We start from the raw sequence: 12,103 nt of genomic DNA, 5'->3' as shown, positions 1-12,103 counted from the left end.
TTTTTAGTAGAGAGGGGGTTTCACCATGTTAGCCAGGATGGTCTCGATCTCCTGACCTCATGATCCACCCTCCTCGGCCTCCCAAAGTGCCGGGATTACAGCCACCGCGCTCGGCCCAATTTTTGTATTTTTAATAGAGACAGGGTTTCACCATATTGGCCAGGCTAGTCTCAAACTCCTGACCTCCAGTGATCTGCCCACCTCAGCCTCCCAAAGTGCTGGGATTACAGGCCTGAGCCACTGCGCCTGGCCTATTCTCCCCATTTTGCAGATGAAGAAACAGTCTCGGCCAGGCACCGTGGCTCACGCCTGTAATCCCAGCAGTTTGAGAGGCCGAGGTGGGTGAATCACGAGGTCAAGAGATTGAGACCATCCTAGCCAACATGGTGAAACCCCGTCTCTACTAAAAATACAAAAATTAGCTGGGCGTGGTGGCGCGCGCCTGTCTGTAGTCCCAGCTACTCAGAAGGTTGAGGCAGGAGAATGGCTTGAACTCAGGAGGCAGAGGTTGCAGTGAGCCGAGATCCTGCCACTGCACTCCGGCCTGGCGACACAGTGAGTCTCCGCCTAAAATAAAAAAGTAAAAGAAAAAAGAAACAGGTTTAGAGAGGGAAGAGGCATAGAGGGTCACAGAGGTGTCTCACCCAGGCTAACTGGTTTGAGCTGGAGGGGCCTTTTCCCCACCACCCTCCACTCTGTGATGGAGACTCCACCCATGAGTACTCACCCAGACAATGTGGTGGACACTATAGACATCCGTGTCACCCATGTAGACACGGATGGCACGCAGTGTGAAGCCATACTTCTTGCCCGAGCGCTGGATGGTGATGGGGGAGCGGAGCCCACTGACAGCTGGTGAGTAGTCCCGGCTGGGTGAGGAGTCCCGTGAGGATGGGTTGGAGGACAGAGATCGTGGAGACATGGGACTAGCAAGGGGTGAACTTCCATGTGGGTCCACTACAGACACACAACCATGGTCAGAAATCAGAACCAAGAAGATAGACATCTCCCTGTATCTGCTCCTCCCTCCTCCCAAGGCAGTGGCAGAGCAGCCTCTCATTGGTCCAGCCTGGAGCCAATCACGGTGGACAGGGAAAATGCAGCATTTTCATTGGTCTGTCCTGCCTCAAATGGGGGGCAGCCCCTCCCCTGCCAGGTGGGGCCCAGCATTACCTGCAGGAATCATGACAGATAAGGCAGTGGCTGAGGCTGATTTGATGACTTTGCCCCCAGTTCGAGAAGGCCTCTTCTCTACTGCCACATCCCCTGACATCTGCTGGTGCCGCGCCCGGCGCAGAACCAAGTCATTGGTAGCCCTTGGGCCTGATGCATCCCCATCCTTCGAGGGTGGGCAGAGGTCACCTGGGCGTGGACGGTCAGCTGCAACAGAAAGCAAGTGTGTTAGGAATTAGTCCAAGGCCAGGGATTTCCCACATACTGTTTCCCTGCCTGGAATGCTCTTTCCACTTTTTACCCTTGATGGATGGTGAGTTTCATCTGAGCAGGTAACCTGCATGCCTCACTGCTCCTCATATAGAGACATAGTCTGTATCGGTCTGTATCACTGACTGACCATGGTATTGGGGTGTTTCTAATGTTAAGAATCCCAAATTGGGCTGGGTGTGGTGGCTCACGACTGTAACCCCAGCACTTTGGTAGGCCAAGGAAGGCAGATCACTTGAGGTCAGGAGTTCGAGACCAGCCTTGCCAACATGAAGAAACCCTGTCTCTACTAAAAATACAAAAATTAGCCGGGGGTAGTGGCGCGCGCCTGTAATCCCAGCTACTCGGGAGGCTGAGGTGCGAGAACCACTTGAACTTGGGAGGTGGAGGTTGCAGTGAGCCGAGATCACGCCACTGCACTCCATCCTGGGTGATGGAGTGAGACTCTGTCTCAAAAAAAAAAAAAAAAAAAAAAATCCCAAATTGCAATGTGAATAGGACCTGAGATCTTTCATAAACAGCACCAGGCTCGTGGGATGCTCACTATATGACCAGTAGGACATTGGGGAAGATTGGGGAAGGCAGCACGATAGGGCACTCACTGGCCTCGGAGTCCCCGGCGCTGGAGGTGCCTTCCCCTTGAGTCTCCTCTTTGGGGGCCCGTGCATCCAGGGATCCCGCGGGGTCGGAGCTGGGCCGGGGAGGCCTGCGCAGCCGGGCCTCATCCTCGTCCTCTTGGGGGGCGCTGAAGCGGCTGGGCTCCAGCAGCGCCGAGAAACGGCGGCGGGCGCCCAAAGGGGGACTGGCCTCTCCCTCCAGGAAACTGGCCTCGGACGCGGAGAATCGCTTGCTGCATGGAGGGGGCGTGGTTATGGAAGACACGCCCCCTTCGACCCCGCCCCCAAACTCCGCCATTCCCCTGCTCACATCTCCGGAGAGCCCCCTCTCCAGGTCTTCTCACGCAGGGTCAGGCCGCCCAGCCCCTCCCGCTTGCCGGCCACCTTCTCCTCGGGGCCCTTGGTGCTCGGCTCCCGCTTGCTGCTCCCTGCAGCTGCTACTGGGGTCTTGGGCTCGTGCTGCGACAGCTGCTCCATGCTGCTATACACCTGTAGGTGGTGGTGGGAGGCAAGTCCAGCCCGGGTTCCACTTTCACTCCGGAGCTAATCAGCTTCCTGGCAGTGGATCCCCCGCAAAACGCACTCCACCCTCCGAGGCCTGGCTCCGCCCAATTGTGCATGATCCCCCAACCTACAATTCTTCAGTTCAGGCCCCACACCACAAAGTTAGGCACTGCGTTTTATTCTAGGCTCTGCCCCGACGATGCCCTGACCAATCTGCTCTCTACACAGCCCCATCTTCCCAGCAACCCCCTTAATTTATGTCTCCTTAGCCCAGGCTAGGCCCTGCACGCCTCTACAAGTTGCTTCTCAAAGCAAGGCCTATGGCTTCTCTGCCCGTTATTAGAAAAAATAAAAATAAATAAATAAAAGCAAGACTTCGCTGGGCTTTACTCCGCCTTCGCTGCTGGCCTCATTCCCACGTCCTGACCCCGCCCCACCCACACCTAGCCCCGCCCCACCATGGCCTCAATCTGCACAACTGTCCTGATTCCTGTTAGATTCCACTCAGTGCCAAAGGCCCGTCCCATAGACTCCCGAACCTGCCTCTTGCGTGGCCTTACCACCTTCCAGACTCCCGCCCCATCAATAACTTCCCGCTCCTGAGACCTTGGGCACCAGGGAACCTGTTTCTCACTGTCTCTCCAAGCCCCATCCCTCCTGGGGTCTCGCCCTGTCCCACACCCAGACTTGGCCCACCTTGCTGAAGCGCGGAGAGCAGGAAGAGAACTGGCGGATTTCCACGGGCTCCTCCTCCGTCGTGTCATCCTCGTCATAGGAGTTCACGTGGTGATACCTGTCTGAGCGGGCTGGGGAGCGGGTATGGGCTGTGACTGAGGGTACGGGGTTCCTCCTCATATCACATCCCCACAGGAGCCCAGTCCTGGTTCAAGACGGGTTTACAAGTCTTCAGGTCAGGCCACGCCCCTGCCTCATTAGTGTATTTAATTTAGGCTCCGCTCCCAGGCAAGGTCCTTGCCCCATTCTCAGTGGCACCGTCTAGCCCCGCCTCCAAAGAGGCCACGCTCCACCTACAGTGCTCTGCACCCTGGCATCACCCCAGGCCATTCTGAGCGCTAGTACCTCTCTCTAGTTCAGTTCCAGGCCCACACTCACAACTCACCCAGGCCAGGCCCCACACCTAGCCCAATCTCAGGTTCTTACCTACATTTCAGCCTGAGCCCCGCCTGTATGTCAGCCCCGCCCCACTTGGCCCCGCCCCCACCAAAATACCACCTTCGCACCTAGGCATCACATCTTGGTACTTAGCCAGGCCCTATCCCAGGCTTTACTTACCCCAGGGTCCCTCTTCCCGGATCCCACCCCTCGACCCAGGTCGTGCCTGGTGTCCCAGCTCACTGTCAAAGTAGCTAGTGTCATCTTCCGACTCTAGGTGGGGGATGAACTCGGCCTTCTGCCTCAGCAGCCCTGTCCAGTCCAGGTCTCGAAAGAAACTGTGCTGCTTCACCTCAAAAGCGCCGCCTGGGACGGAAGGGATTCCAGCCACAGCTGATGGCCAACCCAGCAGCCCAGCCCCGCCCCCCATGTCTTCCGCCCCGGGGCCACAGCACAGGCTGGGCCTGGGGTTTTGGAGGCCTGCTCTCTATCAGTGGGCCCTCAGCTCCTCTGCATGGCGGACTTACCTGCCCCAAGCCTGACCAGAGGGTTGGTCTGCAGGAGGCTGGATATGAGGAGTTGGGCCTCCGTAGGTAGGGCCTCATCCCCCTCGGGCCACAGGATGTCATCTGCAAAACAAAACGGAACTTAGGGGCGGTTTTTGTTGTTGTTGTTGTTTGGACACAGGATCTCACTGTGTCACCCAGCTGGAGTGCAGTGGCACGATCATGGCTCACTGCAGCCTTGACCTCCTGAGTGCAAGCGATCCTCTGGGGGGTCGCTTTTGAAATCCCTGGAACCCTGAGCCTGTCCATCTCTCCGTGCACACCACACTCTGCCCCTGTACACTGCCAAGCCACGTACCACTGATGACCTGTCCAAATAGCTCCTCTGGTGTGTCTCCGAAGAAGGGCACACAGCCCACCAGGAACTCGTAGAGGATGATCCCCATAGCCCACCAGTCCACTGGCTTGCCGTAGCCTTGACGCAGGATGACCTCGGGCGCGATGTACTCTGGGGTCCCACACACCTGGGGGCAGGCTGTCAGCCCACGCCCCAGCCAGAGGAGGGCCCTCAAGGGAGAGCTGTGCCCCCCACCAGGCCCTGGGTTCCCGAGGTCCTGCAGGGTCACTCCACCCTCAGCGACCCCCATGCCCGCACACACACCTGTTTGTCCAGGAACTCTCGGGCGTCCTTCTCGATGTGGCCTTCATATAAGTTGGTGGTGAGGCTCATGAGCCCCATCTTGGAGAGGCCGAAATCTGTGAGCTTGATGTGACCCATGGAGGTGATAAGGAGGCTGTAGGCACAGGTGGGGATCTCAGGGATGAGGCCCGTCCATTCTGCCTCCTGGCCTCCCGAGGGACAGAGGGAGTGATGGGAAAGATCAAAGCTCACTTGTCAGGCTTGAGGTCGCGGTGCACGATGCCATAGTTGTGCAAATACTCCAGGGCTAGCACCGTCTCAGCAAAGTACATGCGGGCCATCTCTACGGGCAGCGCTCCAATATTCTTCAGCAGGGTGGCACAGTCGCCGCCTGCAGGCCAGGAAATGGGCCCGCATAAAAAGGGAGGCATTCCTCTCTCTGGACATGCACCATAGCACCAACTTCTCATGTTATGTTGTACCCGTTTTATAGATAAGGGAAACTGAGGCTCTGAGAGGGGCCTCCCTCCCTCCAGGTCCTCTACTGGGTTCTTCTTGTCCTCTTAGCCATCCTCCAAAGTTGGTGTCATCAGCTCATCTTATACACAAAGGGATGGAGACTCAAAGAAAGGATGGGTCATGCAGGCAGTTGTTGGTAGAGGTGAGGTTTAGTTGGGGAACAAAGGCTACCCACTTATCAACTGCATCTGGAAGCACAGCCCTCTATCTCCTGGTGTCTGAACCTTGGAGCTGGAAGCCTTAGATGCAGATTCTTGGTCTTCACTAGATTTTTTTTTTTTTTTTTTGAGACAGGGTCTTACTCCATTGCCCAGTCTAGAGTGCGGTGGCAAGATCACAGCTCACTGCATCCTCAACCTCCCAGCTCAAGCAATCCTCCTGCTTCAGCCTCCTGAGTAGCTGGGACTACAGATGTGAGCCACCATGCCCAGCTGATTTTTAAAAAATTGTTCAAGGCTGGGCATGGTAGCTCACGCCTGAAATCCCAGCACTTTGGGAAGCCAAGGCGGGTGGATCACTTGAGGTCAGGAGTTCGAGACCAGCCTGGTCAACATGGTGAAACCCCATCTCTGAAAAAAGAATACTAAAGTTAGCCTGGCTTGTTGGCAGACGGCTGTAATCCCAGCTACTCGGGAGGCTAAGGCAGAAGAATGGCTTGAACCTGGGAGGCAGAGGTTGCAGAGATCCAAGATCGCACCACTGCAGTCCAGCCTGGGTGACAGAGCAAGACTCCGTCTCAAAAAAAAAAAAAAAAAAGTTTTTTGTAGAAACGAGTTTCATTGTGTTGCCCAAGCTGGTCTCCAACTCTTGGGTTCAAAGGATCCTCCTGCCTCAGCTTCCCAAAGTGTTGGCCACTGCCTCTGCCCCTCTGCCAGATTTACTGTAATTGGCATTGGTATTTCAGTTTCTCAATATCTATTTCCTTTTTATCCTACAAAGGCTAGATTTCCTTCCATGTGCAGCAACCGGGGCAGTATGTAACCCAAGTTGCTCCAGTGAGTTAGCCCTTGGAATTTTCACTCTTTTCCTGTAAGAATTGCTAAGCTCATAGAATGTAAGCTGAGATCTGCTAGATGGCAACCTTGCTACATGAGGGCTTGTCTAGAAGGAAGCCCACATGTGGGAGTACAGAGCCAAGAGATGGAGAGTTTCCTGATGGAATGGTTTGAGCACCTACATCCAGCCATTCCTGAAGGTAATATTGGTTTTTCAATCACCAATGACCAAGAAAGCTAATGATTTCTTTCTTTTTTCTGTTCTCTTTTCTGCGAGATTTTGCTGGTTTCAGAAACTCTCTGAGGGTGGGGCCCAGGAATCTGCATTTGAGCACATCTATTGTGCACACAGACCCACCATAGAGATACTGATTTGGCCCCCTTCTCTCCTCCTCCTCTGCAATGAACCTGGACTAGAGCAGTCATCTACCTCCTAGTCTCCTGATTCTGCTCTCTCCACAAGAGCCAAATGGATTATCTTTTCTTAATTTTTTTCTTTTTCTCTTTTTTTTTTTTTTTTTTTTTTTGAGTCAGAGTCTGGCTCTGTCACCCAGGCTAGAGTGCAGTGGCTCCATCTCGGCTCACTGCAACCTCTGCCCACTCACCGCCCCCGGGTTCAAGAGATTCTTGTTCCTCAGCCTCCCGAGTAGCTGGGATGATAGGCGTGCACCGCCACTCCTGGCTAATTTTTGTAATTTTAGTAGAAACAGGGTTTCATTGGCCGGGCACAGTGGCTCACGCCTGTAATCCCAACACTTTGGGAAGCCGAGGCAGGCACATCACCTGAGGTTGGGAGTTCGAGACCAGCCTGGCTGACATGGAGAAACCCCATCTCTACTAAAAATACAAAAATAGCCAGGTGTGGTGGTGCATACCTATAATTCCAGCTACTCAAGAAGCTGAGGCAGGAGAATCGCTTGAACCCGGGAGGAGGAGGTTGCGGTGAGCCAAGATCACGTCATTGCACTCTAGCCTGGGCAACGAGTTTAGCCAGAGCGAAACTCTGTCTCAAAAAAAAAAAAAAAAAGGAAAAGAAAAAAACAACAACAACAGGGTTTCACCATGCTGGGTAGGTTGATCTTGGACTCTTGACCACAAGTGTTCTGCCTGCCTTGGTCTCCCACTGTAAGTGCTGGGATTACAGTCGTAAGCTACTATAATGGGCCTCCAAATGGATTTTCTTAAAACATAAATCTGATCATATCAAATCTTCTTAAAACCCTCCATTAGCTGGACATGGTGGTGCCTGCCTGTAGTTTCAGCTACTTTTGGAGGCTGAGGTGGGAGGATTGCTTGAGCCCAGGAGTTCAAGGCTGCAGTAAGCTGTGATCACACCACTGCACTCCAGCCTGGACAATGCACTAAAAATAAAACAAAACAAGGCTGGGCGCAGTGATTCACGCCTGTAATCCCCATACTTCGGGAGGCCGAGACTGATGGATCATTTAAGGCTAGGAATTCGAGACCAGCCTGGCCAACATGGTGAAAATCCGTCTCTACTAAAAGTACAAAAATTTGCCAGATGTGGTGGCACACGCCTGTAATCCTAGCTACTCGGGAGACTGAGGCAGGAGAATCACTTGAACCTTGGAGACGGAGGCTGCAGTAATCCGAGATCACCCCATTGCACTCTAGCCTGGGTGACAGCGTGAGTGAGACTCCATTTCAAAAAAAAAAAAAAAAAAAGGCAGGCACGGTGGCTCACTCCTGTAATCCCAGCACTTTGGGAGGCCGAGGCAGACAGATCATGAGGTGTGGAGTTTGAGACCAGCCTGACCAACATGATGAAACCCCATCTCTACTAAAAATACAGAAATTAGGTGGGCGTGGTGGCGGGCACCTGTAATCCCAGCTACTCAGGAGGTTGAGGCAGGAGAATCGCTTGAACCCGGGAGGCGGAGGTTGCAGTGAGCCGAGGATGCGCCACTGCACTCCAGCCTGGGCAACAGAACGAGACTCTATCTCAAAAAAGAAAGAAAGAAAGAAAGAAAGAAAGAAAGAAAGAGAGAAAAAGAAAAAGAAAAAAACAACAATGCTCCAGTGACCTTCTGTTGCATTCAGAATGAAATCCAATGCCATTCCAGTCTCTGGAATACCCTCCTCATCAGCGCCCCTTCATCCTCATCTCCCCTCCCTTGCTCACTTGCCTTCGGCTCCATGGGCCTGCTTGCCACTCCTCCAAATCTAAATTGTCACCTAAGAGACTTTGTACTAGCAGGTCACTTATTCCATCATAATCCAGGCCTCTGAGAAGCTCCCTGCCTGCCTCCCCATCACCTCCTCCAGCCTCATGGACCTCATGTCCTCACTATGAAATGCCCTGGCTGGGCATGGTGGCTCATGCCTGTAATCCCAGCACTTTGGGAGGCCAAGGTGGGCTGATCACCTGAGGTCAGGAGTTCAAGACCAGCCTGGCCAACCTGGTGAAACCCCTGTCTCTACTAAAAATACAAAAATCAGCTGGGCATGGTGGAGGCGCGCCTTTAGTCCCAGCTACTCAGGAGGCTGAGGCATGAGAATCCTTGAGCCTGGGAGATGGAGGTTGCTGTGCACCAAGATTGCGCCACGGCACTCCAGCCTGGGTGAAAGAGCGAGACTCCATAAATAAATAAATAAATAAATGTCCTTATCTCTTTGGCTTGCTCTGCTTGTTTATTGTCTGTCTATACAGACCAGAATGGAATCTCCATGGCGGGGAGATGTCTGTGCCTGGGTCTCCTCTGTGTCACTGGCACCTAGCACAGCATGTGACACGAGGGAGATGATGAGGAGGTGTTCGTTGAGTGACTGGATGGTTGACTGGAAGGCTTGGAGGAGGCACAGCTGAGGCCCCAGGGATCATGTATGTGTCATAATAGCCACAGCATGTGTGGTTTTGGACAATAGATGGATTAACATTTGGGTGAATACATGCACGGATGGATTAAAAACAATATATGGGCCGCAAGCTATGGCTCACGCCTGTAATCCCAGCACTTTGGGAGGCTGAGGTGGGAGGATCACCTGAGGTCAGGAGTTCGAGACCAGCCTGGCCAACATGGTGAAAACCCTATTTCTACTAAAAATACAAAAAATTAGCCAGGTGTGGTGGCACACACCTGTAATCCCAGCTACTCGGGAGGCTCAGGCAGGAGAATCACTTGAACCTGGAAGGTGGAGGTTACAGTGAGCCGAGATAGCGCCACTGCATTCGAGCCTGGTGACAGAGCAAGACTCTGTCTCAAAAAAAAAAAAAAAAAGAAAGAAAGAAAAAGGAAAAATAGGTGTATAAGCCGGGTGTGGTGGTTCACGCCTGTAATCACAGCACTTTGGGAGGCCGAGGTGGGCGGATCATGAGGTCAAGAGATCGAGACCATCCTGGCCAACACGGTGAAACCCCGTCTCTACTAAAAATACAAAAAAAATTAGTCGGGCATGGTGGCGGGCACCTGTAATCCCAGCTACTCAGGAGGCTGAGGCAGGAGAATGGTGTGAACCTAGGAGGTGGAGCTTGCAGTGAGCTGAGATTGCGCCACTGCACTCCAGCCTGGGAGACAGAGCAAGACGCCGTCCCCCCCAAAAAAAAGAAAAATAGGTGTATAATGGTAAACAGACATACGGATGGATAAACAGATGGACAACCACAAAGACAAATTGCGGGATGTGAGGGATGGATGGAAAGGTGGATTAATAAACAGGTATATGGGATGGGCTCGGTGGCTCGTGCCTGTAATCCCAGGACTTTGGAAGGCTGAGGCAGGACGGTTGCTTGAGCCCAGGAGTTGGAGACTAACTTGGGCAATACAGGGAGACTGCATAAAAAACAAAACAAACGAACAAAAAAAAACAAAAAACAAAAAACTTTTTTTTTTTTTTTTTTGCGGGACAGGGTCTTGCTCAGTTGCCAGGGCTGGAGTGCAATGGCATGATCTCAGCCTAGCCTGGAGTGCAGCAGCACGATCTCGGCTTACTGCAACCTCTGCTTCCTGTGTTTAAACAATCCTCCCACTTCAGCCACGTGAGTAGCTGGGATTATAGGAGTGTGCCATCTGGCTAATTTTTGTATTTTTGGTAGAGTCAGGGTTTCACCATGTTGGCCAGGCTGGTCTTGAACCCCTGACCTTGTGATCTCCCCACCTTGGCCTCCCAAAAATTAGCCGAGTGTGGTGGTCCGCACCTATAATCCCAGGTATTTGGGAGGCTGAGGTGGGAGAATTGATTGAGCCCAGGCATTTGAGGCTGCAGTGAGCTGTGATCGCACCACTACATTCCAGCCTGAGCAACAGAGTGAGATCTTGTCTCAAAAATAAATAAATAAAATAAAATAGGCCTGGCACAGTGGCTCATGCCTGTAATCCCAGCACTTTGGGAGGCCCAGGCAGGCAGATCACTTAAGGTCAGGAGTTCAAGACTAGCCTGGCAAACATGGCGAAATCCTGTCTCTGCTAAAAATAGAAAAATTACCCATGAATGGTGGCACAGGCCCATAATCCCAGCTACTCGGGAGGCTGAGGCATAAGAATCGCTTGAGCCTGGGAGTCGGAGGTTGCAGTGAACCGAGATTGCACCACTGCACTGCAGCCTGGGTGACAGAGCAAGACTCTGTCTCAAAAAATAAATAAATGAATAAATGAATAAATAAATAAATAAATAAAAACAGGTTCATGGATGTATGGATGGAAAAACAGATGGATTAGCACATCAGTAGATAGAAGGATAGATGGATGGATAATGGGTCAGACTGAATGTTTTTATGCTGAATGAAATGAAAAACAAATAAACCAATAGATGACTGAATAAATATATAGGTAGAATGGATGGACAAATCAATGACTGGAGAAATAAATAGATGGATAAACATACAGGCCGACTAATCAATATGGAGACTGCGGCTCAGGCAGGCCACCCCGCAGCCCTGACCAGTGAGCACGGCCCCATCTTCCCTGCAGCCCCGCAGGCAGCCACACCTTCCACATATTCCATGACCATGCAGAGGTGGCGCCGAGTCTCAAAGGAGCAGAACATGCCGACCACAAACGGGTTCTCGGCGAAGGTGAGGATATCGCGCTCCACAAAGGCCTGCTGGATCTGGTTGCGGAGGATCAAGTTCTGCTTGTTGATCTTTTTCATGGCAAAGCGCTGCCGCGTGTCGCGGTGCCGCACCAGGTAGACAGCGCTGCAGGGGGAGAGAGCGAGGACCGGCCGTCACCTCCGAGACACCCGGCCTCCGCCACCCTCCCCCCGCCAGAGCCCCGGGTGGCTCACCCGTAGGCACCGTTGCTTATGAGCTTGATGGTATCGAAGTCATTCTCCCCCGGCGGTTTCTTGGCCTTGCTGCTGCGGCCCTTCAGGAAAAAGATGGAGACCACACCACCATCATCATCATGAGAGCAGGATGCTTTTAATTTCATTTTACACATGGGGAAACTGAGGCACAGAATGAAAGAGTCCTTCATCCAAGTGCCATAATGAAAGAGAAAGTTAGGACTTGAACCCAAGACTGACTCTGAAGACATATTCTCATCTTCTTCCACTAGAAAAGATAGCAGGAAACCAACAAAATAGTCATCCTAATATATAAATATATAAAGAGTTCCCAAAAATCAATAACAAAAGCCTAACAATTGAAGAGAAAAAAGTGGGTGAGGTAAGTAAATTACAGTTAGAGCTTTTTTTTTTTTTTTTTTTTTTTTTTTTTTTGAGATAGGTTCTCACTCTGATATTCAGACTGGAGTGTAGTGGTGCTCACTGCAGCCTCCACCTCTAGGGCTCAAGTGATTCTCCTGC

The 12,103-nt window shown here is 52.3% G+C and overlaps 1 protein-coding gene across 1 annotated transcript in view, besides 4 other annotated features; it reads right to left on the bottom strand.

The window, feature by feature from the left end:
* MAST1 (microtubule associated serine/threonine kinase 1) overlaps positions 1–12,103 on the bottom strand; it is a 36,438-nt gene that overhangs the window by 4,930 nt on the left and 19,405 nt on the right. Inside the window, exons 11-22 of the mRNA NM_014975.3 lie at positions 11,582–11,661; positions 11,284–11,492; positions 5,076–5,214; positions 4,845–4,977; positions 4,542–4,707; positions 4,205–4,306; positions 3,921–4,043; positions 3,261–3,370; positions 2,371–2,549; positions 2,046–2,293; positions 1,174–1,380; positions 728–957 (exon numbers count right to left, since the gene is read on the bottom strand). Coding sequence (NP_055790.1) covers positions 728–957; positions 1,174–1,380; positions 2,046–2,293; positions 2,371–2,549; positions 3,261–3,370; positions 3,921–4,043; positions 4,205–4,306; positions 4,542–4,707; positions 4,845–4,977; positions 5,076–5,214; positions 11,284–11,492; positions 11,582–11,661 — 1,926 coding nt within the window. The remainder of the gene's footprint in view (positions 1–727; positions 958–1,173; positions 1,381–2,045; positions 2,294–2,370; positions 2,550–3,260; positions 3,371–3,920; positions 4,044–4,204; positions 4,307–4,541; positions 4,708–4,844; positions 4,978–5,075; positions 5,215–11,283; positions 11,493–11,581; positions 11,662–12,103) is intronic.
* Positions 2,092–2,872: a transcriptional cis regulatory region, noted in NCBI's record as "genic|chr19:12977965-12978745 region (GRCh37/hg19 assembly coordinates) targeted for CRISPR interference". NCBI's record gives its function as "positively regulates KLF1 gene expression in K562 cells {active_cell/tissue: K562}" and the evidence as "EXISTENCE:mutant phenotype evidence [ECO:0000015][PMID:31784727]".
* Positions 2,154–2,448: an enhancer, noted in NCBI's record as "tiled region #6054; HepG2 Activating non-DNase unmatched - State 10:DNaseD, and K562 Activating DNase unmatched - State 1:Tss". NCBI's record gives its function as "activates a minimal TATA promoter and a strong SV40 promoter by Sharpr-MPRA in HepG2 and K562 cells {active_cell/tissue: HepG2 | K562}" and the evidence as "EXISTENCE:reporter gene assay evidence [ECO:0000049][PMID:27701403]".
* Positions 3,670–4,457: an enhancer, noted in NCBI's record as "NANOG-H3K4me1 hESC enhancer chr19:12976380-12977167 (GRCh37/hg19 assembly coordinates)". NCBI's record gives its function as "activates a minimal SCP1, AML or CMV promoter by ChIP-STARR-seq in primed H9 embryonic stem cells {active_cell/tissue: H9 hESC(primed)}" and the evidence as "EXISTENCE:reporter gene assay evidence [ECO:0000049][PMID:30033119]".
* Positions 4,458–5,246: an enhancer, noted in NCBI's record as "NANOG-H3K4me1 hESC enhancer chr19:12975591-12976379 (GRCh37/hg19 assembly coordinates)". NCBI's record gives its function as "activates a minimal SCP1, AML or CMV promoter by ChIP-STARR-seq in primed H9 embryonic stem cells {active_cell/tissue: H9 hESC(primed)}" and the evidence as "EXISTENCE:reporter gene assay evidence [ECO:0000049][PMID:30033119]".

This window comes from Homo sapiens, chromosome 19 (genome assembly GCF_000001405.40).
Source record: "Homo sapiens chromosome 19, GRCh38.p14 Primary Assembly".
NCBI lineage: Eukaryota > Metazoa > Chordata > Mammalia > Primates > Hominidae > Homo > Homo sapiens.
This window is presented reverse-complemented; position numbering and strand designations above follow the sequence as displayed.